At 39.7% G+C, this 26,881-nt stretch overlaps 1 long non-coding RNA gene across 1 annotated transcript in view; it reads right to left on the bottom strand.

The window, feature by feature from the left end:
• The window catches only part of LOC107984223 (uncharacterized), a 35,525-nt gene extending 9,220 nt beyond the window's left edge, over positions 1-26,305 (bottom strand). Inside the window, exon 1 of the long non-coding RNA XR_001747426.1 lies at positions 25,592-26,305. This is a non-coding gene — a long non-coding RNA (uncharacterized LOC107984223). The remainder of the gene's footprint in view (positions 1-25,591) is intronic.
• Between the last annotated feature and the right edge of the window lie 576 nt (positions 26,306-26,881).

Genomic DNA, 26,881 nt, shown 5'->3' with positions numbered 1-26,881 from the left:
TTTCATTAGGACATTGTTAATCTCTGAAGCCCTGGGATCTATGTTTAAATATGCCACAGCTTCTCCAAAAATATGAAACAATGCTTAGATCTCTAAGAATAATATGAGGCTAGGTCAGGAATTTTTCAAATAGCCAGGAGTCCTCAAGGAGAATACCCTCAGATGGGGGCAAGTCATTTGATAAAAGTCATTTTATGCAACCAAAGTTTCAATTCACCAGAAATATATAAAAAGCCTAAACTTCTATACATATAATAACATTCACAATATGTTAAGCAAAAATTATCAGAATGTAGAGAAATCCTCTGTCACATGAGAACTTTCAGGATATCCCTCCTAGAACTTGATAAATCAAGCAAGTAAAAATCAGAAAAGATACAGAACACAACATAACAACAAAATTAGTAAATTTGAGCTCATGTACATGTACATGACAAGTACACTCAATAAATAAAGAATATACATCCTTTTCAAGCATCCATGAAACATTTATGAAAGTTGACTCTGTAATAAGCCACAATGATGTCTCAATAAATGCCACAGAATTGGTATCATACAGATTGCATTTTCTGTCTGCTTGGAACACAATTAGGATAAAATTCATTATTAAAAATATAACATTAAAATGTGTATATACACATATATATTTAGGAATTTTTAAACACAACAGAATATCTTGTGGGTCAAATAAGAAATAAAAATATAATGCTTAAAACTGAATGATGACAAAAATACTATTTATGAAATCTGTGAGATGCATTTAAAATTATATTTGTACCCAGACAAAAATAAATCATTCTACCAAAAAAGGTAACTGCACTCATGTGTTTGTCACAGCCCTATTCACAATAGCAGAGACATGGAATCTACCCAGGTGCCCATCAATGGTGGACTGGATAAAGAAAATGTGGTACATATACACCATGGAATACCATGCAGCCATAAAATAGAATAAAATCCTGTCCTTTGCAGCAACATGGATGCAGCTGGAGACCGTTATCCTAAGCAAATTAACACAGAAACAGAAAACCAAATATCACATATTTTCATTTATAAGTAGGGGCTAAATCTTAAGTACACACAGACATAAAGATGGAGGCAATAAACACTGGAGACTACAAGAATGGTGAGTGGGAGAGAATGGCAAGGGCTGAAGAACTTTCTATTAAATACTAGGCTCACTATTTGGGTGACGGATTCAACAGAAGCCCAAACCTCAGCATCATGCAATATGTCCTTGCAAGAAACCTGCACATATAGCCCCTGAGTCTAAAATGTAAATGACAATTTTAAAAGGTAAAATTATACCTGGAGGGTTACAGCCTTACACATATATATTTGAAAAGAAGGACTGAAAATAAGCTAAGTGTATCACTTAAAAATTTAGAGGAAGAAAAAAAACTATTGGAATACACCCAAAGAAGCTAGAAGAAAGAGAAGCATAAGGGGGAGAAATTAATGTCATAGAAAAGGATATTTTTAATGGCGAAAAGTTAGTTTGTTGAACAGACAAACACAGTTGTCAACTTTGGCAAGGTATATCAAGAAAACATATGGGAAGTGGCAAATGAACAATATTGGGAGTGAAAGGGGGATACTGGTTACTTATGGAGAAAGAAAAAATACAGAGATAGAGACATTCAGTGAGAGAGTTGAAGAAGCAGGGAGGAGAAAAAAGAGGAGAGGGTAGGTGAAGAGGGAGTCAAAGAGGGAAAGGAAGTGAGAAAAAGGGAAAAGCAGCACAGAGGAAGAGAAAGACACAGACAAAGACAGAGCCCCAGACACCTAGAGCAAGGGAGATGGTAAGTGACAAGGGCGAAGAAACAGGCTAGTGGTGGTTTCTGTTTTCAAGGCTCATCTGGTGCAAGAAGGAAATTATAATTGAGCTGCTAAACTATATACAACAGTTCTTACTTTCTTCATCACTCGTCTCATATGGAAATCTACACTCATCCTCTCTTTCCTGAGAACAATTCTCAAAGCATAGGATGGGGACCCACAGGGATAGTTAGATCTTTCCAAGGAATGTACAAAGTTGAAACAATTTTTGTAATCATCCTAAGACATTATTTGCCTTGTCTCACTCATCTTCATCCTCTCACCAGGGCACAGAGGAGTTTTTCAGAAGCTCCACGGTGTATGATGATATCGTTTCTCCTTTGACAAATGCAATATGTGCTTGTGAATTCTGATCCTTCACATCTTTCTCTGTGTTAATTTATACTATGTTAAATACAGATGACTGTGACCCACATACACACAAGCTCAGGTAACCCACCTGACCAGACATGTCCCCTGCTGTCTGGGCAGCACTCCTGTGTACTTTTTGTTCATGATTGTAGAAGTGCCCTAAGGCACTGCAGTGGCTCTTTTCGCAGACTGGACTCCACTCTGTTCTTTCCCAAACCCACACTCGCTCCACTGCACAATGTGTAGGTCCTGCTCCACACGCAGCCGGACTCTAATATATGTCATTGACTCCACAAAATTACACCCCATTAGCAGGTGAGATGCACTGACCACAGTGAAGAGGTAGATTGAACCCACATCTCCACAGGAGCTTTCTTCCAAACTCCCCTGTGAAGTTCTTGAAATTAAAATCATTTCATTTTGTCAAAGTTCCGTTTCATCGCTTCCAAAAAACAGCCTCCATTTACCTGGGTCCAGGTGCTTCTGCTGGGGGGGTGTCTATCACAGACCTGTCCTGTCACCTCGCCATATTTGACTCCCAACTCCACTGCCTTTGCCAGCCAGACCAGCAGTCTTCTCAGTGGTTTTGTCCCCCAGTCCCTTGGCAGTTGCCAAGTCACACTGCTTTCTAACACACCAACCCCCTAAAATTCTCCATCCGTGCAAGAAGCCTAATTAGTTAGATTCATAGAGAATAACCACCCTTTTCCTAAAATCCTTGCTAATGTATTGACCTGACCTAACTCCTCCTCCCACAGGGAGGAAGATGGAGGGCAGGAGGGAGTGAGGAGGGAGGGAAGGAGAAAGAAAGAAGTAAAGGAGAGTGGAAGGGGTGTTAAGGGAGGGGAGGAGAATACAGAGATCCAGAAAAAGCAACTGTGGCAGCACCCTGTGTCTGCTCACACCTCAAGCATCTTTGGGGTAGATTCTCACAGTTAACAACCAAGGAACAGAAATCATCAGTCAGTGCATCATTAAATGTATCCGTATTTACACACTCTATTCTCTACCCATTGCTTTGTTTGCTTAATTATCCTTATTAGGAATTATTAGCAAATCCAAACAATTTACAAAGCAGCCATTAGGCTGGTAACTACAGCAAACATCAGCACAACCAGGGAGTCCCCGGTGGATATAGAGACCTGTTAAATCAGCCATTCTACCGAAAATAGAAATGACAATGAGGAGGTAATCTACCTGAGAGGTCATGCCCTCTTCCCCGATTGTTTGTTATTTGTTCTGGGCCCCTGGGTAAGGTGTGTGTTTGTTTACTTGAGTGTAACCACATCAGACTGAGTTTGAGTTCCCTACCCTTCTGGAAAAGCAGGTACAGTGGCTTGATCTGTAGTGAATAGGGCTTGGATTAAAACTCCAGGAAACCCTGGCCTATCAAATGCAGAATCTTCTACTTGTAAATCACCATGACTTCTAAAATACTGCAGGTGTCATGGAGAGATCTAGTGAAACTGTAGATAAATGCAATTGAGTTCAATTTTAAATAGGATAATTATTTGTATGGGAAATTGTTACCATTGATGTATTAGATTAACTTATAATTGATAGAGACAGACCGACAATAGGAACCATTAGCAGTAGAGTATGCAGTGTGTGAGTTCTCTAGTCCTGGAACCCCTGAGGGATAGTGTTTAAGACATCAGATGCTGAGTTAAGGGGGCTCCTGGAACCAGCAACATGTCCCTCCCAAAGAAAGGAAAATAAGCTTGTTGTACCTAGTTTATCAAGAGCCCCACCCCCTTGTCTTAGGGAAATACAATATAGCCACAGTCCCTGCCACCAGAAAGGGTGTATGCACATCACCATTAAACAAGGAAACAGTGTTATGGTTAAATGCTACATGTGTAGTCAAGACAACAGCTACTATAATTGAGAAGGGACACATTCTGGGGCTAGATTTAAAGGGAAAGATGATTTTGAAACCTGGTGCTTGATCAAGATCTGAACAGGTGAGAACAGAATGGGTAGGACCAAGAAACCAGAGAACTCCCAGTGATAGGATTTTTGCAAAACATCTATAGGCCACCATCTAACTTGCTGGTGGGTTGCAGGGTGAGGGGTCAGGAAAGACTAAACAAACAAAATTGTCAAATGCGTAATGTGAGATGCAAAGGAGATGTATGAAAGCATGAAGTGCTCAATAAATGACAAGCACTTCAGTACAGCTGAACCTCAAAACTTGGAAAGAAAACACTGTTGCAGTATGCAGCTGAACCTCAAAACTTGGGGAGAAAACCGGAGGAGTGTGCAATGAAGCTGGAAAAGTAGCCTTGGAGAGTAGCCTCAAAGCATCAAATCCTGAAGGTCCATGAGTGTTGTGCTCAGATATCCCATTATGCTGAAACTTCCACAAAGACAGAGCTTGCTTCAGGGAAAATTCACAGGCAACAAAAACAGAATGTCAGCTTGGACCACTCCTTTTCCGGAAAGCCTCCTTGCCCCCTGCATCCCATTATACCTCTATTTCACCATGAAGACAAATGAAGTAAAGAAAAATATGGTATCAGAGCACAGCATACAGACAGCCTGCATGTGCAGTGGTGTTTGCTGTGCCCTGGATTTGAGAGGCAGCGTGTTTAAAGCATAATCAGGACTGGATCTTTGTGATCACAGAACAGTAGCAGTGACATAGACATCCAAATCAATTTTGTGGATATGGAAAGAGGAATGGAGAGAAGGAGAAGAGAGAGTTGACAGAGGTCACATGTTCAAGTTTAACTGGATTCCAAAGGCATTTGGGATGTGCTCTGGAATTATCAGATTGCAGGGGCATGATCAAAACCAGCATGAACAATATGATCCTGGATTCTGTTTGCAGAATAAATTGGAAGGCAGAGGGCAGCTAGGAGCAATATGGTGCTTTCAGCTAGGCCTGAGGTGGCTGTGGCTGAGAAGGAGGGAGAGAATGAGCTAGAAAATGTCGAGAAGTGTTTGATAAAAGATGAACTGTGAGGGACAAGAATAAGAAGAAAGAGGCCAAAAATAAATCCAAGTTTAAAAGACTGAAACAACCCTTTGACACGTTCGATAAGGGACAAGGTGAGGTTTTTAACCATCGGGTGCTAGCCCAACAATTAAAATATACAAAATCAAATCATGCTTTATGTGGAAGAGCACAAGGTGTACCCCAAGTATAAAGTGCCACTCCTCAGCTGCCCTCATGCAGCAAGTTCAGCAAACCCTCATGTCTAGCACGGGGCTGCAGCCTTTCATCAACAGAGCTCATCTCCACAGCCATCCAGGCCCCACTTCTCAAGCCTGATTCAGCCCTTGCACCTCTATGAGCCCAGGAACACACAGATCATCCTCAGCAATCATTCTGGTTCAGGCTGGATATCTACCAAGGGTGCTGTCTGCTCAGAATTTAAAATCACTGTTTTATCACTTTTTTCTACAGTTTTTTGGGATCTGTCATCCAAAAGATCAATTATCCCCCCAATTTTGGGCTATGATGAATAAAGTGGCTGTGATCATTTACATATAAGTCTGTGCAGACATTTGTTCTGTTAGATTTCCGGTAAAAGAGTGACATCTGATTTACTTCTTTATATAGAGATCCTGCCTGCCTGCTTGCCTGTCTTCCTTCCTGCCCCTCCTTCTCCTCCTTTCCCTCCTTTATCTCTTTTTCTTCCTTTCTTTCTAATAGGATCTCACTCTGTTGCCCAGGCTGGAGTGTAGTGGCACAATCATAGCTCACTGCAGTCTCAACCTCCTAGGCTCTCACCTCAGCCTCCTGAATAGCTAGCACTACACATGCACCCTGTCATGCCTGGCTAAATTTTTGTTTTTGTAGAGTTGGAGTCTCACTATTTTGCCCAGCTGGTCTCAAACTCCTGGCCTCAAGAGATCTTCCCACCTCAGTCTCCCAAGGTTCTGGGATTATAGGTGTGAGCCACCATGACCAGTCTATATGAACTTTATTTTTTTTTTTAAAAAAAAAGTAGTTTTAGTCCCACAGCAACACTGAGAAAAAAAGTACAGAGAATTCTCATCTACCCTCTACCCCTCCCCCAACATGCCCAACCTCCATTATCAACATCCCCCACCAGAGTGGTGCATTTGTTACAACTGATGTACCTACATTGACACATTGTCCTCACCCCGAGTCCATGGTTTACCCATAGTTTACATTAGGTTCACTCTTGGTGTGTACATGCTATGGATTCTGATAAATGGGCAGTGATACGTATCTACCATTACAATATCATACGGAACATTTCCTCCGCCCTAAAACTCCCCTGTGATCTGACTATTCATGCCTCCTTCCTCACTAAACCCTGGCAATCACCAACTCTTTTACTGCTTCTACAGTTTTGCCTTTTCCAGGATGTCATACTTGGAATCACACAGTGCGCAGCCTTATCAGATTGGCTTCCTTCACTTAGTATTATGCATTTAGGTTCCCTCCGTGTCTTTTTGTGGCTAATTTCTTTGCATCACTGAATAATATTCCATCTCTGGATGTACCACAATGTGTTTATCCCCTCACCTCCTGAAGGATATCTCAGTCGCTTCTAAGACTTGGCGATTCTTTAAAAAGCTGCTGTAATCATCCATGTGCAGGTTTTTGTATGGACATAAGTTTTCAACTCATTCAAGTACATGCTAAAGAGATTACTGCATCGTATGGCAAGAGTGTGTAGTTTTGTAAGAAACTGCCAAACCGTCTTTCAAAACAGCTGTACCATTTTCATTCCAACCAGCAGTGAATGAGAGTCCCTGTTATTCTACTTCCTCCCCAGCACCTGATGTTGCCAGTGTTTAGAGTTTTGGTGATTCTAATAGGCGTGTTGTGGCATCTCACTGTTGTTTTAATTTACAATTCCTTAATGGGATATGATGTGGAGCATCTTCTTGATTGCTCACTTGCCATCTGTATATCTCCTTTGGTGTAGTATCTGTTCAAGTGTTTTGCCCATTTTTAAATCACAGTGTTTACTTTCTTATTGTTGAATTTTAAGAGTTCTTTGCTTATTTTGGATAAAGTCCTTTATCAGATAGATCTTTTGCAACTATTTACTCCAAATCTTTGGCTTATTTTTTTGACAGGCTCTTCAGCAGAGCAGAAGTTTGTAAATAAAGTCCAGCCTATCGATTATTTCTTTCAAGGATCATGCTTTTGGTGTTGAATCTAAAAATTCATAGCCATAGTGTAGGTCACCTAGATTTTCTCCCGTTATCTTCTAGGAGTTTTATTAAGCTTGCTCTTTACATTTAAGTCTATAATCCATTTTGAGTGCATTTTTTGTGAAGAGCGTAAAGCCTATATCTAGATTTATTTTTATGCATATGGATGTCCAAGTGTTCCAGTTCCGTTTGTTGAAAAGACTATCTTTGCTCCATTATGTTGCTTTTGTTTCTTTACCCAAGATCAGTTGATGATATTTATGGTCTATTTCTGAGATCTTTATTTTGTTTCACTGATTTACTGGTCATTCATTTAACAACACCACTTTGTCTTGATTACTGTTGCGGGAAGTCAGGGACCCCGAATGGAGGGACTGGCTGAAGCCATAGCAGAAGAACAGAAATTGTGAAGATTTCATGGACATTTATTAGTTCCCCAAATTAATACTTTTATAATTTCTTATGCCTGTCTTTACTGCAATCTCTGAACATAAATTGTGAAGATATCATGGACACTTATCACTTCCCCAATCAATACTCTTGTGATTTCCTATGCCTGTCTTTCCTTTAATCTCTTAATCCCATCATCTTCCTAAGCTGAGGATGAATGTCACCTCAGGACCCTGTGATGATTGTGTTAACTGCACAAATTGTTTAAACAATATGAAATCTGGGCACCTTGAAAAAAGAACAGGATAACAGCAATGTTCAGGGAACAAGGCAGATAACCATTAGGTCTGGCTGCCTGAGAGCCAGGCAGAACAGAGCCATATTTCTCTTCTTTCAAAAGCAAATAGGAGAAATATCACTGAATTCTTTTTCTCAGCAAGGAACATCCCTGAGAAGGAGACTGCGTTCCCAAGGGGAGGTCTCTAAAATGGCCAGTTTGGGACTGTCTGTCTTTTACGGTTGTTAATAGGGGACGAAATAAGCCCCCATCTCCCGAAGCGCTCCTAGGATTATTGGGACAAGGAAATTCCCGCCTCATAAATTTTGGTCAGACCGGTTGTCTGCTCTCAAACCCTGTCTCCTGATAAGATGTTATCAATGACAATCCATGCCCAAAACTTCATTAGCAATTTTAATTTTGCCTCGGTCCTGTGATCTCACCCTGCCTCCATTTGCCTTGTGATATTTTATTACCTTGTGAAGCGTGGGATCTCTGTGACCCACACCCTATTCATACACTCCCTCCCCTTTTGAAATCACTAATAAAAACTTGCTGGTTTTGTGGCTTGGGGGGCATCAGGGAAACTGCCGACATGTGATGTCTCCCCTGGACACCCACCTTTAAAATTTCTCTCTTTTGTACTCTTTCCCTTTATTTCTCAGACCAGCCAACACTTAGGGAAAGTAGAAAAGGACTCATGTTAAAATATCGGGGGCTGAACTTCCCCCAATAATTACTTAGCTTTATAGGAAGTCTTGAAGTCAAGCATTGTCAGACCTCCACTATTGTTCTTCTCCCTCAGTAACATGTTGCTAATTCTAGATCTTCGACTCCCCATATAAACTTTAATATTAGTTGTACATACCCAAAAAAACATTTTACTGGGATTTTGATTGGGATTGTGTTGACTCTATACCTCAAGTTGGGAAAAGTGACAGCTTGACAATATTGAGCCTTTAAATCGATGAACATGGAATATCTCTCAATTTATTTATTTCTTCCAGATTTTTATCATTTTCTTCATATAGATATTGTACACATTTTGTTAGATTTATACCTAGGTATTTTATATTTGGAAGTGCTAATGAAAATGATTTTGTGTTTTCAATTTGAAATTTTACTTGTTCATTGATGGCATATAGGAAAATAATTAACTTTTGTATATAACTTTGCATCCTACAACCTTGCTATAATCAAGGAGTATTTTGTTGATTCTTTCAGATTTTCTGCCTAGATTATCATGTGTTCTTCAAACAAAGACAGTTTTATTTTTTCCCAATCAGTACACCTCTTATTTTATTTTATTATTGTATTAGCTCAACTTCCCAAAAGTGTTGAAAAGGAGTGATGAGAAAAGAACATCCCTGCCTCTTACCTGATCTTAGCAGGAAAGCTTCTAGTTTCTCATCATTAAGTGTGTTGTTAGCTATAGGTTTTTTTGTAGATGTCTTTTTCCAAGTTGAAGATTTACCATGAATGAATGTAGAATTTTGCAAATGCTTTTTCTGGTTCTATTTATATGATCATGCAGTTTTTCTTGTTTAGCCTGTTGAGATGGATTACTTAAATTGATTTTGGATTGTTAAACCAGCCTTACCGATGTGGGATAAATCCTAGTTGGTCATGGTATATAATTCTTTTCATAATTGTTGGATAAAATTTGCTAATAATTTGTTGAGAATTTTCTCATCTATGTTCATGAGAGATATTGGTTTTTAGCTTCCTTTTCTTGTAATGTCTTTGGTTTAATTTTAGATAGATGCTGACCTCATAGAGGTCTTTTTAAAAGAAAACAAAATAGCTTTTTATTTCATTGATTTTTCTCTATCAATTTTCTGTTTTCAATTTCATTGATTTCTTCTCCAATTTTTATTATTTATTTTCTTCAGCTTACTTTGGATTTAATTTGCTCTTCTTTTTCTAGTTTCTAAAGTGGAAGCTTAGATTATTGATTTTAGATCTTTCTTGTCTTCTAATATATGCATTCAATGCTAAAAATTTCCTCTGCTTTTCCTTTAAACAGTATTTTTGCTGTATTCCACAAATTTTAATCAGGTGTATGGTTATGTAGTTCAATTTTTAAAATTTCTTTTGAAATGTCTTTGAACCATGTGTTATTTAGAATTATGTTGCTTAATCTTCATGCATTTGGGGATTATTGTTATAGTTGTATTTATATCTACCATATATCTACCATATCTTTCTATCTTTGCTTTCAACTGTTTCTTCCTTTCATGGCTTTAACTGACCATTTTCTATGATTCCATTTTCTCTCTTTTCTTAGCATATTGGTTACACTTCTTTTTTACATTTTTTTGTGGTTGCCCTGCAGTTTCCAACATATACTTATAACTAACGCAAATCCACTTTCAAATAGTACAATATGACTTTACAAGTAGGGCAGATATCTTTGTTAAACAACTTTGATTTTAGGTTCAGGGGTATAACAAAATATTACTAATTCCTCTCTCCTGTCCCTTGTACCATTGCAGTCATTCACTGCACTTATACATAAGCTATAATCACTAAATTCAGTGTTGCTATCACGATTTTGAACAAACTGTTATCTGTTAGATAAACTGAGAATTTTTAAAGGTAAAAACTTCCATTTTACCATCACTTACTACTTCTCTAACATTGTGCATTCCTTTATGTAGATCTGAGATTCCTTGACCTACATCACATTTCTTCTTTCTAAAGAACTTTCTTTAACATTTCTTGTAAGACAGGTCTACTGGTAACAGATTCCATTAATTTTTGTTGGTCTGAGAAAGTCTTTCTCCCTAACTTTTGAAGGATAATTTCACAGGATACAGAATTCTAGGTTGAAGGATTTTCCTCTCAGTACTTTTTATTCCACTCTCTTCTTGCTTGCGTGGTTTCTGAAAAGACAGCTGCAGTTTGCATCTTTATTCCTCTATAAGTAAGGTTTATTTTTCCCTCCTCTGGTTTCTTTCAAAGATTTATTTTTTTATCCTTGGTTTCCTGCAGTTTAGATATGATATGCCTTAGATGTGGTTTTTTTTTTTTTTTTTTTTTTTGGCTTTTATCCTGTTTGTTGTTCTCTGAGCTTCCTGAATCTGTGGTTTCGTGTCACATATTAATTTAGAAAAATCTCATTCATTATTGCTTTGAATATTTCTTCTATTCCTTTCTCTCTTTCCTCTCCTTCTGGGGTTCCACTATGCATACTTACATCTTTTATAGTTGTCCCACTGTTCTTGGATATTCTGTTCCTTTTTTATTCAGTCTTTTTCCCTTTGCTTTCATTTTTGGAAGTTTCTCTTGAAATATACTGAAGCTCCAGATTCTTTCCTCACCCACATCCAGTCTGCTAATGAGGCTTCAACACCATGCTTCATTTTTGTTAGTTTCTTGACCTCTAGAATTTTTATTTGATTCTTTCTTAGACTTTCCATTTCTCTGCTTATATTACTGATCTGTTCTTGCAAATTGTCTATTTTTTCCATTATCACTCTTACCATATTAGTCATAGTTGTTTAAAATTACCAATCTGATAATTCTAATATACCTGCCATATCTGAATATAGTTCTGTCAGCTAGCTCTGTTTCTTGAAACTTTTTGTTGTTTTGGGTTTTTTGTTTGCTTGTTTGTTTTAGGGTTTCTTTTTTTCCTCTTACAATGTTTTTTTAATTTTTTGTTAGAAATTAGACATGATATACTAGGTAAAAGGGAGTCTGGGCTGGGCACAGTGGCTTCCGCTGGTAATTCCAGCAAGTTGAGTGGCTGAGATGGGAGGATGGCTTGAGGATAGGAGTTTGAGAACAGCCTGGGCAACATAACAAGACCCTGTCTCTACAAAAATAAAAAAATAAAAATATTAGCCAGGCATAGTGGTACACACTTCTGGTTCCAGCTACAAAGAGGACTGAGGCAGGAGGATCACTTGGGTCCAGAAGTTCAAGGCTGCAGTAAGCTATGATAGTGCCATTGCATTCCTGCCTGGGGGACAAAGCAAGATCCTATCAATTTTTTTTCTTTCTTTTCTTCTTTACTTTTTAAAAATTATTATACTTTAAGTTCCAGGGTACATGTGCACAACGTGCAGATTTGTTACATAGGTATACATGTGCCATGTTGGTTTGCTGCACCCTCAACTCATTATTTACATTAGGTATTTCTCCTAATGCTATCCCTCCCACAGCTCCCACCTCCCAACCTGTCCTGGTGTGTGATGTTCCCCACCATGTGTCCAAGTGTTCTCATTGTTCAATTCCCACCTATAAGTGAGAACATGTGGTGTTTGGTTTTCTGTCCTTGTGATAGTTTGCTGAGAATGATGGTTTCCAGCTTCATCCATGTCCCTGCAAAGGACATGAACTTATCCTTTTTTATGGCTGCGTGGTATTCTGTGATATATATGTGCCACATTTTCTTAATCTGGTCTATCATTGATGGACATTTTGGTTGGTTCCAAGTCTTTGCTATTGTGAATAGTGCCAAAATAAACATACGTGTGCATGTGTCTTTATAGTAGCATGATTTACAATCCTTTGAGTATATACCCAGTAATGAGATTGCTGGGTCAAATGGCATTTCTAGTTCTAGATCCTTGAGGAATCACCACACTGTCTTCCACAATGGTTGAACTAATTTACACTCCCACCAACAGTGTAAAAACATTCCTATTTCTCCATATCCTCTCCAGCATCTGTTGTTTCCTGACTTTTTAATGACCACCATTCTAACTGGTGTGAGATGGTATCTCATTGTGGTTTTGATTTGCATTTCTCTGGTGACCAGTGATGATAAGCATTTTTTCATGTGTCTGTTGGCTACATAAATGTCTTTTTTTGAGAAGTGTCTGTTCATATCCTTCGTGCACTTTTTGATGGGGTTGTTTTTTTCTTGTAAACTTGTTTAAGTTCTTTGCAGATTCTGGATATCAGCCCTTTGTCAGATGAGTAGATTGCAAAAATGTTTTCCCATTCTGTAGGTTGCCTGTTCACTCTGATGGTTGCTGTGCAGAGGCTCTTTAGTTTAATTAGATCCCATTTGTCTATTTTGGCTTTTGGTGCCACTGCTTTTGGTGTTTTAGGCATGAAGTCCTTGCCCATGCCTACCTGCTGAATGGCATTGAGGCTAGGTTTTCTTCTAGAGTTTTTATGGTTTTAGGTCTAACATTTACGTCCTTAATCCATCTTGAATTAATTTTTGTAAAAGGTGTAAGGAAGGGATCCAGTTTCAGCTTTTTACATATTGTTAGCCAGTTTTCCCAGCACCATTTATTAAATAGGGGATCCTTTCCCCATTGCTTTTTTTTGTCAGGTTTTTCAAAGATCAGATGGTTGTAGATGTGTGGTGTTATTTTTGAGGGCTCTTTTCTGTTCCATTGGTCTATATCTCTGTTTTGGTACCAGTACCGTGCTGTTTTGGTTACTGTAGCCTTGTAGTATAGTTTGAAGTCAGGTAGCATGATGCCTCCAGCTTTGTTCTTTTTGCTTAGGATTGTCTTGGCAATGTGGGCTCTTTTTTGGTTCCATATAAACTTTAAAGTAGTTTTCTCCAATTCTGTGAAGAAAGTCATTGGTAGCTTGATGGCGATAGCATTGAATCTATAAATTACCTTGGGCAGTATGGCCATTTTCATGATATTGATTCTTCCTACCCATGCACATGGAATGTTCCTCCATTTGTTTGTGTCCTCTTTTATATTGTTGAGCAGTGCTTTGCAGTTCTCCTTGAAGAGGCCCTTCACATCCCTTGTAAGTTGGATTCCTAGGTATTTTATTCTCTTTGTAGCAATTGTGAATGGGAGTTCACTCATGATTTGGCTCTCTGTTTGTCTGTTATTGGTGTATAGGAATGCTTGTGATTTTTGCACATTGATTTTGTATCCTGAGACTTTGCTGAAGTTGCTTATCAGCTTAAGGAGATTTTGGGCTGAGAGAATGGGGGTTTGTAAATATACAATCATGTCATCTGCAAAAAGGGACAATTTGACTTCCTCTTTTCCTAATTGAATACTCTTTATTTCTTTCTCTTGCCTGACTGCCCTGGCCAGAACTTCCAACACAATATTGAATAGGAGTGGTGAGAGAGGGCATCTTTGTCTTGTGCTGGTTTTCAAAGGGAATGCTTCCAGTTTTTGCCCATTCAGTATCATATTGGCTGTGGGTTTGTCATAGATAGCTCTTATTTTTTTGAGATACGTTCCATCAACACCTAGTTTATTCCTATTTAAGGAAGTCTGGTAATGAGGCATGTAATGATGTAGTAGTAAGGGGCAGAGGGAAGGAAAGTGCTGTGTAGTTTTATGATTAGGTTAAGGTGAGCCTGTGCCCCTGGTCTGTGGGTTTTACCAGTGTTTCTCAGTTTTCTCCCCACTTATGTGAGACAGGATTGCTAGAAGGGGCTGGAAATAGGAATTTGCCTTCCCTCAGGTTGGTTAGGCACTGGGAAGATAGTTTCTCCTGTGGGCAGGCCTTTTCAAGAACAGACATTTCTGACATATTTCAAAATGGTTACTTTTTCTTCTCTGCTGGAAGAATGAGAGGATTTTTCTCAGACAGTCACTGTGAGAACTTAGAAGAGCTGAGCTCCTAGAGGTGAAGCTCACAAAATTGCAAGGATTGGAGGGTGCCCCTATGACTGGGCCCCCTGGAGTTCTTGACTCTCAGACTTGTCCACACTGAGCCTTCAGCAATTCACTAATTACAGTTCAGGTTTCCATGCCCTTGTGCTTGTTTCCCCGGATGTTTCTGCTTGTGGCTCTCCACTCTGGCAGGTTGTAATTCTCTGTATTTTCCTGTCTGTCTCTCCAATCCAAGATGCAGAGGCTTGCCCTACGTCCTCCCTTGTCTGAAGGTTCTACAAAGAGTTTTTGATTTTCAGTTTGTTCTGCTTTCTACTTGGTATTAGGATGGGGCTATGGCATGACTTCCAAGCTTATATACCAGACTGGAAATCAGAGGTCTGATTTATTTTCAGAATGATTTTTCTTAAGGCCCTTCATAATTTTCCTGCTATAACCTTATTAAAGATCAAGATTGAAATTTGACATTAAAGAATATTCTTTTCAGTACCTGTTCATTTATTTTTGAGATCCATTGGGCAAAAGATACTGGTCTATTTTAACTCCTATTTAGGCCTACAAGATTTTGCTTCACAATTTTTAAACCTAAACAGAAACAACTTTCCCCTCACTTTAGGCTAGAATTGTCTATATTGCAATTTCTGCAGAAGTAGAGCCAAGCCTTCATTTATCAAAGTTTAAGTTCCTATGGTGAAATCAGGGGGTATAAGCTTTCTATCTTTAATACTATTCTCCTACAACATTATCGATAATTTTTCTATAAATGACTACTAGGTTTTAATAAGAACCAAACAATTAACACCTTCTTATAAAAATATAATAATTTCTAAACAAAGGTTTTTGAATATACTTAAAAATAACATAATTTCATTATTCTGTGCAATCAAAATAATAGATGGTGAGTAAAACTGAATATTGTATATCAAGATTATCCAATAAAAAACAGACAGATAATACTAAACTAAATTAATTAAAATCACGGAAATGCAAATGGCAATATTTTTAAAGAGTTTGATTTGGTTACCTCTGAAAAGAACTTCTATAAATACAGACAAATCTCTTGGGTTATACTACATTACAAAACAGAAGCAGTGTTCTCAATTGTCAACATTTACCAGTATGTAGTTTAAAAGACTAGATCCAGAGTAAAATGTGTCCACTTTCAGAAACCCACACAGAACTATGTACTAGATAATGGATCTTTTTCCCATAGATACCAAGACAGCTCACGTTCATCTTCAGGATTAACGTATCAGGAATAATTACAGGCACTTGTTTCTGTCCAGCCTCTTGGATCTGAACATTGTCCTTTTTTTTTAAATGTACTTGAGGGAATACTTCAGAGAGAGTAAGACTCCTGTGCCTCAAGGATGATATTATTTTTTAAAAGGTTTTTCTTACTGTTAGTTTTAGATACTGAACTCTTTCCATATCAAAAATTCCTGGATTCTATTTTCTTTTGAAAAAGTTACGAATTGTGTCAATGCTCCATGGAGAAGTGTACGCAAATAGCTATCAATCCTGCAGCTCCTAAAATCATACCTTACCCTGGACCAATGATTTTTAACCATACTTTAATTATGGTACCCTTAAAGAGCCTTTTCAGAGATTTCGTTTTTCCTAATTGCAACCCCACACAATCCATAACATTTGAACGCTGGTGATGTGCTCTGTAGCAGTGCTGTGTGTTGTGGACCCCTGGAAGCCTACGCACCATTGAGTATTTGATATTTTTTTTGCCCCATCCTCAAGGAGCAGTTGTTGCTCCTTAGGGGTAAGTCGCCCCTGCTGAGAATGCATGCTCTCGATAATGCTGCTTCACATTGGTCATTGTGGAATATTTTTATAAAAGAGAGGATCCATTTCCAGCTTCTTTTCTGCAGGAAGAGAACCTGTGGTTATGTCTTACTCCCCCATTTTGTACAATCAACTGCTGAGAGAAGGTCAGAGATAACTGTCCACCATGTTAATTTCCCCAGGACTAGGGCAACAGTGAGGGGGAAAATGGAGCCTTTTCTCTGGTCACGCTCCTGAATTTTGTTTCAGTTCAGAAAACTTCATATAATTGGGTCCTCAGAGGCTGTAGCTGGATATAAAACTCATGGAAGGGCCAGGTGCAGTGGCTCAACGCCTTTAATCCCAGCACTTTGGGAGGACAAGGTGGGCGGATTGCGAGGTCAGGAGATTGAGACCATCCTGGCTAACGCGATGAAATGACATCTCTACTAAAAATACAAAAAAATTAGCTGGGCATGGTGGCGCGTGCCTGTAATTCCAGCTACTCAGGAGGCTGAGGCAGGAGAATCGCTTGAACCCGGTAGGCAGAGGTTGCAGTGAGCTGAGATTGCACCATTGCATTCCAGCCTGGGCAACAGAGGAGACTCAGTCAAAAGAAAAAAAAAAAAAACACACCTCATGGAAGAGGTTGGCCTAAGGCTAGGCCACTAGTTTTGGGCCTAACCCAGACCCCAAACTCACAAATATAAACCTAAGAGGGCAAAGCATATTCCAAGGCTGACAGAAACATGCGTTAAATATTTTACCTCAGGTAGAGGTTGGTGCTGACCCAATACATTGATTACAATGGAAACTGCTCAGGGAAATGAAGTTGTTGCTGCCTTTCCCAACCCATACCAACTCACCCTTCCCATGCCACCCACACATTTAATCTCCTCTTTGTTTTCCTGAAAACCTGACAACCACATGGTTTCTACTGTTAAAGTTAAGATTTTTCACCTTCAGTGATGATGGCTTCAGTTGAGGGCTAGCCATTTCCTGTCCTGAGATCACTATGTATTCTCCCACGCCCAGAGCTCTGGAAACAACTATTACTAGAGACACAGAGAATGACTCACCCACTTAGGTAGAGTAGATTAAGGCTTCTACCTCCTTCCCGGGGGATTTGGGAGCTACATCACCACTGAGTTTATACTATTAAATAAAAAATATCACACTCATCCCACAGCTATGATAAGAAAAAGATGTGTAGGGAAAAGCAACCTCTATGTAAATAGTATCACCAACAAAAAGAGGATTAGATTTTAGCTGCAACAATAATCAGTGGTGTCAAAAGAGTCACATTTTACATTTCACTTCCACGTATTTCAGCCTCATAACTAGATTTCAAAGTTCTACAATGTAATTCTATCACTTGTAATTGCCTATCGAAAGCCAACCCAAGAGGTCATACCTTTCCAGCAGGTATATACCTATCCTGTGTCCCCTTTTTTCTGCTCCATGATGTTGTCTTCAAAGTTCTAAAATAAAAACAAACCAACTCACACACCCACAACCATCCTGTCTTGTGCTTTGCTATGATTCTTTCAGCCTTTTCCACTCCTACAAAAGCCTTGCCCAATCATCTTAAATATGACCTTGTACAAACTAATTGAGCATCCAAAAGAACCAGAAAATCTGACTCCTTGAGACTCTATATATTTTGTTCATCAAGGGTTAATGGAAATATCTTGGAAGAAGAAGAACTGAGTAGAATTCCCACCATGGTAGAACTTCATTATTAGATATTAATGCTCTACAGACCCAGTGTGAATTGACTCATTTTATGATTTAGCAATTATAATGAGAACACTCAAAATTATATCCCAAGAGTTACTCTACTTCACTGAGTACAGTTAGATGATGTAGTTGAGTTTTAATCGAGTGAATTTGGAATAGGGAAGTATATTTGTTAGACGTGAAATTTCACTTATGGGCAAATTGCCTCTGTAATAGGATCCTGCCTTCCTCATTCAGAATAGCCCTCCTTTCTCTTCCAGCCTTTTCTGACCCCTCTGTTGCAGGGGATCCCAATTAGACTGGGAAAGCTATTAAAATGAGCAAAAGGGTCAGAGGAAATGAGGGAGAGATGAGACAAAAAGGGAATGAGAATAAAAGAGAGGGGAGACGAGAGAGCACTTCCCATACTTCACCCAGTGGGGATCTTTTGCCAGACATTGATTTTCACTCCAAGTCGCTTTAGCAAATATGGGTCCTTTTCACATGCTACCTCAAGGGATTTCATCTGGAACTTTGAAATACCTTGCTAGTGCTGAATTTCACAGCTTTGCTACAAACAGAAACCTGGTATTTATGATTAACATTCCTACAGAAGCTCCAGGCCACAGACTGTCAGTGATGACAAGCACAGAAAAAATAGTCAGCAGAGCTGCGAGGGGCCATGTTATGCCAGCACTGCCCTTAAACGCCTCCCTGTCTAGGCCACACATGGTACTAATTGTCTTGGTACAGTTATCTTTTTAGATGTGTATTGTTTTTCTTCCCTAAATTGAAGTTTTTTGAAGGCAGGGACTAGATTTTATTCACTTACATATTTCTTACAGGGCTCAACAAACATTACAGTAAGTACATAATAAATAAGTTATTAGCTGATAATTAACAGTGCATTCTCCTAAAATAATACACAGGAGTTCAGGATATTGAAGTCATCTCAATCAAATAACCTAGTAGGCAACCCTTTTGACATGCTGCTCTTGATCTTACAGATTTCAATAAATAATAACAACCACCTCCAAAAATAAAAGAACAAGATGATTTGGGGGACAACAAGGAGTGGCCAAAAAGGAAGGAAGGAAGGAGGGAGGGAAAGAAGGAAGGAGGGAGAGAGGGAGGGAGGGAAGGAAGGAAGGAAGGAAGGAAGGAAGGAAGGAAGGAAGGAAGGAAGGGAAAGAAAGGGAGGGAAGGAGGGAAGGAAGGAAGGAAGGGAAAGAAAGGAGGGAGGGAGGGAGGGAAGGAAGGAAGGAAAAGAAAGGAGGGAGGGAGGGAGGGAAGGAAGGAGGAAGGAAGGAAAATAAAGGAGGGAGGAAGGGAAGGGAAGGAAGGAAGGAAGAAGGAAGGAAGGAAGGAAAGGGAAAACAGTTTAAGGCTGTTTCTCTTTAACCTCACCACCTACTTCTAGACCACAGGCCCCAACCCGACACCAAGAAGATGAAATTTCCCTTTGGGCCTTTATCACGGGGGCAGAGATATCTGACTAAGAACAAGTTGAGGACTAAGGAATAAAAACCTTCCATCCCATTCCTTTTGCTTATTTGCAGCTGACAGGAAATCTCCTTAACATCCTGTTTGGATATTCCCTATTTATAAAGGTCAAAGAAGGAAACATGCAGTTCTGAAAGTATTTGGCCTTCCCCATATCGCTAACAGAACTCCTGGAAAAGTACTCACCCAAACGTACTCTAGTCTAGCTTAAAGACAGTGCGTTTGCCTCAAATGCTACTATCTTTTTTTATCTCTACTTGTTTCCAGGCTTGAATACCTGAGAGAGTTCCCTCTTGGCTTTATGTTGTAAACCTGTCAATGGCTGATTTAAGACCTAAAAGGAGGCAGAATCCCAACAGTTGTACAAATGCAGATCTAGCTGGAGACTCTCTCCTGAGGCTTCCAGTAATATTCACTTGGGGTTCTGGGAAGGCTTAGGCCAGTGCTGGAGGCAGATTAGAAAAAAAAAAAATCTGAGAACTGAAAAACCTGTCGTTGTAGCTGTGTGTTTCCACATATCTATAAATGCATGAATATTTTTAAAAAGGCCCTGTCTACAAGCTAAGAGGCTATGGGAAGAAGTGATCCTATTCTCTTGCTTTAAATATGTCAAATAAAACATATATATGTGTATCTTTTGATAAAACGCAAGGGTAAAATAGTTTTTCTTCTGTTTGCAAATGAAGGGGAAAAAAATAAACCAAAGTGAAAGACCTGGCACTTTGTGTTTTTTCACTGAAGCCAAGCTATGTCGATCACAGGGATATCCCTAGGGCCAGGAAGGCAGAGCTGTCCAGCCTGAAGCCCAGCAGGGACTCAGAGGGGCAGCCTGCAGGGGAGCTGTGCACCCTTGAGGCCAGAGTCTCAGAAAATGCCATGCATCCAGGTCACAGAAGCTTGGAGATGCAAATTATTGCTATTCTATTGTGATTGGCTCTGCAGAAACAGAAACTAAGGGTGGGTGGTGATTGAGTTCTACCCTCAGAGATAAGAGCTGGGACAAATAATTCCATGGGGTTTCCAGGTTGGCAAGGCAAAAAGAGATGAAGGGGAAAAAAGTAAGCTGAGTACCTGGGGCCAGAGAAAAGGTTTTGCATTTCTTTCAGGAATCTGTGAGCAGCTAGTTTGCTCTCAAATGGTCCCAGAACTTAATGTTACAGTATCTTTGTGGGGATCTAACCAGAGAAATATCTAGAGGCAGCAAAGCATATCTTAAAATGCTTTAAATCACTCAAGGCAGGAGGTACCTGTTTCGTCCTTGTGAAGAAGCATCTCATGCACCTGTTCATGCAACAGTGTTCACTGAGGCCCTGCACTGTGTCAGTGGCTGAGATTCCAGCAACACGAGCAAAGCTCACAGAGCTTAGCCCCCATGAATCTCACCATCCATTAGGGAAGGAAACCCAGTCTAATCACACCAAGAATTGCAAGCAACTTCTATAACAGAAGAAGGGTAAGATCTTACGAAAATATATAATAGGTCTCATAAACAGTGTCAATTGTAGAGAAATCAAATGTGCATATGAGGATGAAAAAGAATATGTCTCAAGATGAGGCCGTACCCTTCACGAAATTCTGATTTAAAGTGGTATTAGTGGGTTTTGTTAGGTAGCCAACTATTGTCAAATTCTTCCACACTAGTTTTTTTTTTTTTTTCTTTCTTTTTTTAAGACACAGTTTCACTCTGTTGCCCAGGCTGGAGTGCAGTTGCATGATCTCGGCTTACTGCAACCTCCTCCTCCTGGGTTCAAGAAATTCTCCTGCCTCGGCCTCCCAAGTAGCTGGGATTACAGGTACCCGCCACCACGCCCGGCTGATTTTTGTTTTGTTTTGTTTTTTGTATTTTTTAGTACAGATGGGGTTTCACCATGTTGGCCAGGCTGGTCTCAAACTCCTGACCTCAGGTGATCCGCCCTCCTTGGATTCCCAAAGTGCTGGAATTACAGGTGTGAGCCACTGCAACTGTCCAACACTAGTCTTTATAACACTAAAAATTTTATAATTTTTTATAATTAAAATTACTCTAAGTAATTTTAATTTTTTATAATTAAAATTACTCTAAGCTGCCCACCGCCCACCCACATACACACATAAATCTAATCAAGACCAATGACTACTGTTTTAATAAATGTTGGCTATCAGAAGATTCCAAGATCACATCTCTGGTGTACCTTGAACTAATTAACAATTTAGCTTGAGTAGAGAAGTTCACTCCAGGCACTTTTATAGTGAAGACAAAGTACAAAGTTCTTTTGCATATCTTAACTCATTTTTCAAAAAAAAGGATGTCCTGAAGGAAACTTAATACCAGAAATGATTTGAGAGAGGCAGAATTTAATTTTAACTCTCACATTTTATATCTTGAAAATGGTGAATGAATCCTGATTGAGATCCATAAAAGAGATACATACACACATGGCCCATGATAAAAAGGAACAATGAAAAAATAGTATTTCTTGCTTTAGTTGCTTAAGATGGTTGAGGTTTTATTTTAGATGGTTGAGGTTTTATTAGGTAGTAATATCAAGCATTTTAAACAGAAAAGATCTGAATGACTTTTCTCCATATTTTGTTTTATCTGTACAAATAGTTCCTTATAAAAGTATGCTTTCAAATGATGGTAAAAGTGTTATTCACAATAGCAAAGACATGGGATCAACACAGATGTCCATAAATGGTGGACTGGATAAAGAAAATGTAATACATATATACCATGGAATACTACACAGCCTTAAAAAAGAATAAAATCATGTTCTTTGCAGCAACATGAATGTGGCCGGAGGCCGTGATCCTAAGTGAATTAATGCAGGAATAGTAAACCAAACACTGCATATTCTCACTTAGAAGTGGGAGCTAAACATTGGGTACATGTGGACATAAAGATGGCAACAATAGACAGTGGGGACTACCAGAGGAGGGAGAAAGGGAGGGGGTGTGGGCTGGAAAACTACCTATTGGGTACTATGCACACGCCCAGGTGATAGAATCACCCATACCCCAAACTTCAGCATCATGTAATATACTTGTGTTACAAACCTGCCCATGTATCCCCAGAATTTAACATAAGTTGAAATGTTTTCAAAAGGATGCTAAAATGTATTGGCAGCTACTGTGGTAGACAGCAAAAATAGCCCCAAAGTTCCACCTGCCATTTGTGCATACTCTGCCATGTACCTTTGTCTCAACATCATACTTTGATTCTATCACCCTAGCTGAGGACTTCCAGGGCCGGCAGGCAGCCAGCAAATCCATGACATATGAACAAACCCAGCCAAGACCAGCAGGGTCACCTACCTGCATCACAGACACATGAGCAATGACAGCTTTTCCTACATCCCAGACCCATGAGCAAAAGAGCTTACCAATGCATGCAGTTGAGGATTGTGGTGGTTTGCTATGCAGCAACACTGTGGCAATAGAGAGCTAAAGCAACTACCATCCCCAAATAATCATCCTCTTTCCAGCACACTCGGTTCTCTCACCTTCATGCCCTATGTTACTCTCCTGAAAAATTCCATCCATGGATTCATCTAGCTTTCTGCTTCCCCCACTGCTACACCTGTGTGGCTAAGCAATCCTGTGAAAAAAATCACAGAACCATTCAGACAGGGGCTACTAGAAACTGAGGATATTCTAGCTCAGTCATTATCTCACACAGATGAGCACCTCTGTACCATATCTGTGATGAGGTCCCTCCCTGATTCTCCTGGGGAGCTGCTTCAAACTTTCCCGGTGTACCTAAAACTTCCAACCCTCTCTCTATAGCCTTCTTCATCCAAACATGTCTCTGCCTCCTTTTTCCTTAAAACTGCATTAGACTCATATAGTCCAGTTGGGAGAAATTTCTTATTCAGTAAAGCACAGCACACCTCCAAAAGTAATTGTAAAATAACTTCAGTCCTTCACTTGCGTTTCTCTCAGAAGGTGAGAAGGAAATCCAGACACATAAATTACTGCTGCACTTAATCCATTTCTCTTTTCTCACTTTCTTATTTTGTATCCCTTAAAAAACAACTTCTGAAATTCTCGCCAATCCCCCAAAAACTCATCTGCACTAGACAAAAACTGCTTCCTCCAGTTCTTTTTGCCTGCTAGTTAAAAATATACAGTCTTAGCCCCAAACCTAGACCTGCTGAACCCAAATTTCTATGGAAGAGGCCAGGTAATTTTCGTAGTTTAAAAAGACCATGGGTAATTCTTATAATCAAGCAGGTTTGGAAAGCACTGCTGTCTTGAACTCTTGTTCTCAGCTTGGTTGCACACTGGGATCTCTTGGGAAGTTTAAAAAACCCCTGATGCTGGTGCCTGCTCCCCATCCCATGTTCTGGCTTAATTGGAAAGGAACAAGTCCTGGACATCTATACTTTTAAGGCTCCCCAGGTGACCCTAATGTGCAGCAGAGTTTGAGAACCACTGGTTTTCTGCAACCTCATGCAAATATTGTCCCAGATGTAGATGGGAGAAACACTGCAGGCATAGCTGAGGATATAATTGGAAGAAACCAAAAACCCTTATTATGCAAATATTTGCCCTAATAAGTCTGCCTGCAAACAAATATAACAAAGCCAATTTTTCTTCAAAAATAAGGAGTCAGCATCTACTAGGTGTGTCTGGTAGACCTCTTATAATATTCCCCATGATCCCATCTCCCCCTTTTCTCTCTTCCTCTCTCTTCCTTCTCTCTTAGAGCATTTACGCTCTAAGTTCTTCAACCCTCCTGCTATATCCTTCCTCCAGTTAAAGAAAGCTCCCTGAGCTGATCAAAATGCAAAACAGAATCGTTTCCCCGTTTTTCCCTCCTTCCCTGTGATAGTTGGGCACGGTGGCTCATGCCTGTAATCCCAACACTGGGAGGCTGAGGCAGGCAGATCACCTGAGGTCAGGAGTTCGAGACCAGCCTGGCCAACATGGTGAATCCCCGTCTCTACTAAAAATACAAAAAAAAAAAAAAAAAATTAGCCAAGCGTGGTGGTGGGCATCTGTAATCCCAGCTACTTGGGAGGCTGAGGCAGGAGAATTGTTTGAACCCAAGAGGCGGAGATCGCAGTGAGCCGAGATCATACCACTGCCCTCCTGCCTGGACAACTGAGCCAGACTCTGTCTCAAAAAATAAAAATAAATAAAATAAAATAAAATAAGGAGTAAATGAAGATCACAGATTTCCTACTTATTTTCAGAGTAATTCCCAGAATTAGGGGCATTGGAGGAAGAAGGAGAAGGAAGAGAGAGGAAGAGAGAAAAGGGGGAGATGGGATCATGGGGAACATTATAAGAGGTCTACCAGACACACCTAGCAGATGCCAAAATTTATTATTTTATCTTTGAAACAAATACTTCAGAGGTATTTTGTCACAAAATATACAAAAAGAGTTTGGCTTTTATTTAAAATTTATTTTTGGTAACAGATCTAATCTTCCACGTAAGCCTCTTTACTGGAGAAGAGTAGATGGGAGGGCAGGTGGGATCTATTTAGACAAATCCGATATATTCAGAATGATTCAGTAGGCAAAGAATTCCTCCTGGTAACGAATCTGTGTGTCAAGGTCCTTACCTTGGCTCTCACTGTCCTCAGGATTATGGAGGGGAAGATGATGCAGAATTCGCACATGTCTTCTGGATCATGGGGGACTTTGCTGAGTGTGCCTGCCATGGTCCGATCTCTGATTGATAGGAGTGACTGCTGAGATCCTGGATCTGACCACTGAGATATGTGGCCCAGTGCCATTCACCCTCGCAGGGTAACATTCTGGCTCCATGGGCAAAGCCCATTGTCCTAATTGTCAGCCTCCCATCTCAGAGTCCCTCACACACATGCTTGCCTCTCCATTCTGACCCTAACTTCAACAGTCAGAAGCTTGGCCTCCCCTCCGTGAACACACACAAATTTCTGAATTCTCTGCAACCCTGCCCATGCCAGGGGGAGCCTAGAGTGCCTATTCCACCCATCAGTTCCCCATGAGATTAGGCAGGCTCTGACCCAAAGGCTGACATGTCTCTAGGTATCGTCAACCTTCCCCAAGCCTTGTCCACTCACCTGGCATGTTAGAGCTCCTTCATACCTGCATGGATGTTTCTAAAAGCACTTCTCACTTGATTCTCCTCACACACCAACACTCACTGAAGTGACCAGACTTTCTTGAGTTCTCCTTGCCTTGTTTGATCTATCTAATCCCTAATGTTAATGGCAGAAAAGATGTAAGGAGAGATATCAGCCTAAATGTAAGACAGCTTAAGTCATCAGATATTTTAACAACAACATTTCTGACATGCAAGCATTTCTACTAGTTATCTTAGAAAAATAGTGTGCAATAAATAGAGTTAACATTGTCCAAATGTTGACTGTAACCTAATCTGGCTACATAATTTGTGGGGCCCAGTGCAAATGAAAATGAATCTGGGATACCTTGTTCAAACACTATTAAGAATTTTAAGACAGTGAAGGAAAGTACTCATTCATGTGTGGGACCCCTGTGCACACTCATGAAGCCAGCTCTGATTGCAATCCTAGAAGATCCATCACCTCTAGACCACTTCCCACTAGACTTGTCCAATCTCATGGTGGGTGGTGGGGACCTAAAGAAATCAACCTGTGGAATTAAACACATGGTTAATTTTCAGATGCTAGAAAAAAGGATCCCCAAATCATTCAACACAACTGTCTTATTTTTGAAGATGACTTTCAAAAATAGGCATTTACGCTCTAAGTTCTTCAACCCTCCTGCTATATCCATCCTCCAATTAAAGGAAAGCTCCCTGAGCTGATCAAAATGCAAAACAGAAGTGTTTCCCCTTTTTTCCCTCCCTCCCTCCCTCCCTGTGATAGTTGGAATAAAGTATGTAAATCTCAGCACACCTTTACTTTTATCATCCAGCTAATTATAAGGCTGTTATGGAGAAGACTGTTGAATTCCCCAGATTCACTCTGGGCATAACAACCCCTTAAATTATAGAGCAGATGGCACTTAATGAAAAAGGAGAATAATTTTTTTAACAACAACTTGCACCAGTTTCTCCTCCTATTCACATCCAGGATACAGCAAAAGAGGAGAGTCAAGTTGCAGCTCATTCAAATTGTGTTGTCTTAAAAAACTGCTTACTTCCTTCAAAGCAGACTTGAACGTGTTATGTATGTTATCATAACTCCTATTCCACTAAGAGTGTCTTCCACTCCAGAACATATGATCAAAAGATAAATCCACTTTATAGGATGAGAGAAAATTAAGTCATAGAAACAGCACCACTATTCTTTGTTTAATTATATCAATATACATTATATCTAGCATGATAAGAGGTGCATGAATGATATAAAATGAACTAAATGGGA

Source organism: Homo sapiens, chromosome 10, assembly GCF_000001405.40.
Source record: "Homo sapiens chromosome 10, GRCh38.p14 Primary Assembly".
Classification (NCBI taxonomy): Eukaryota; Metazoa; Chordata; class Mammalia; order Primates; family Hominidae; genus Homo; species Homo sapiens.
This window is presented reverse-complemented; position numbering and strand designations above follow the sequence as displayed.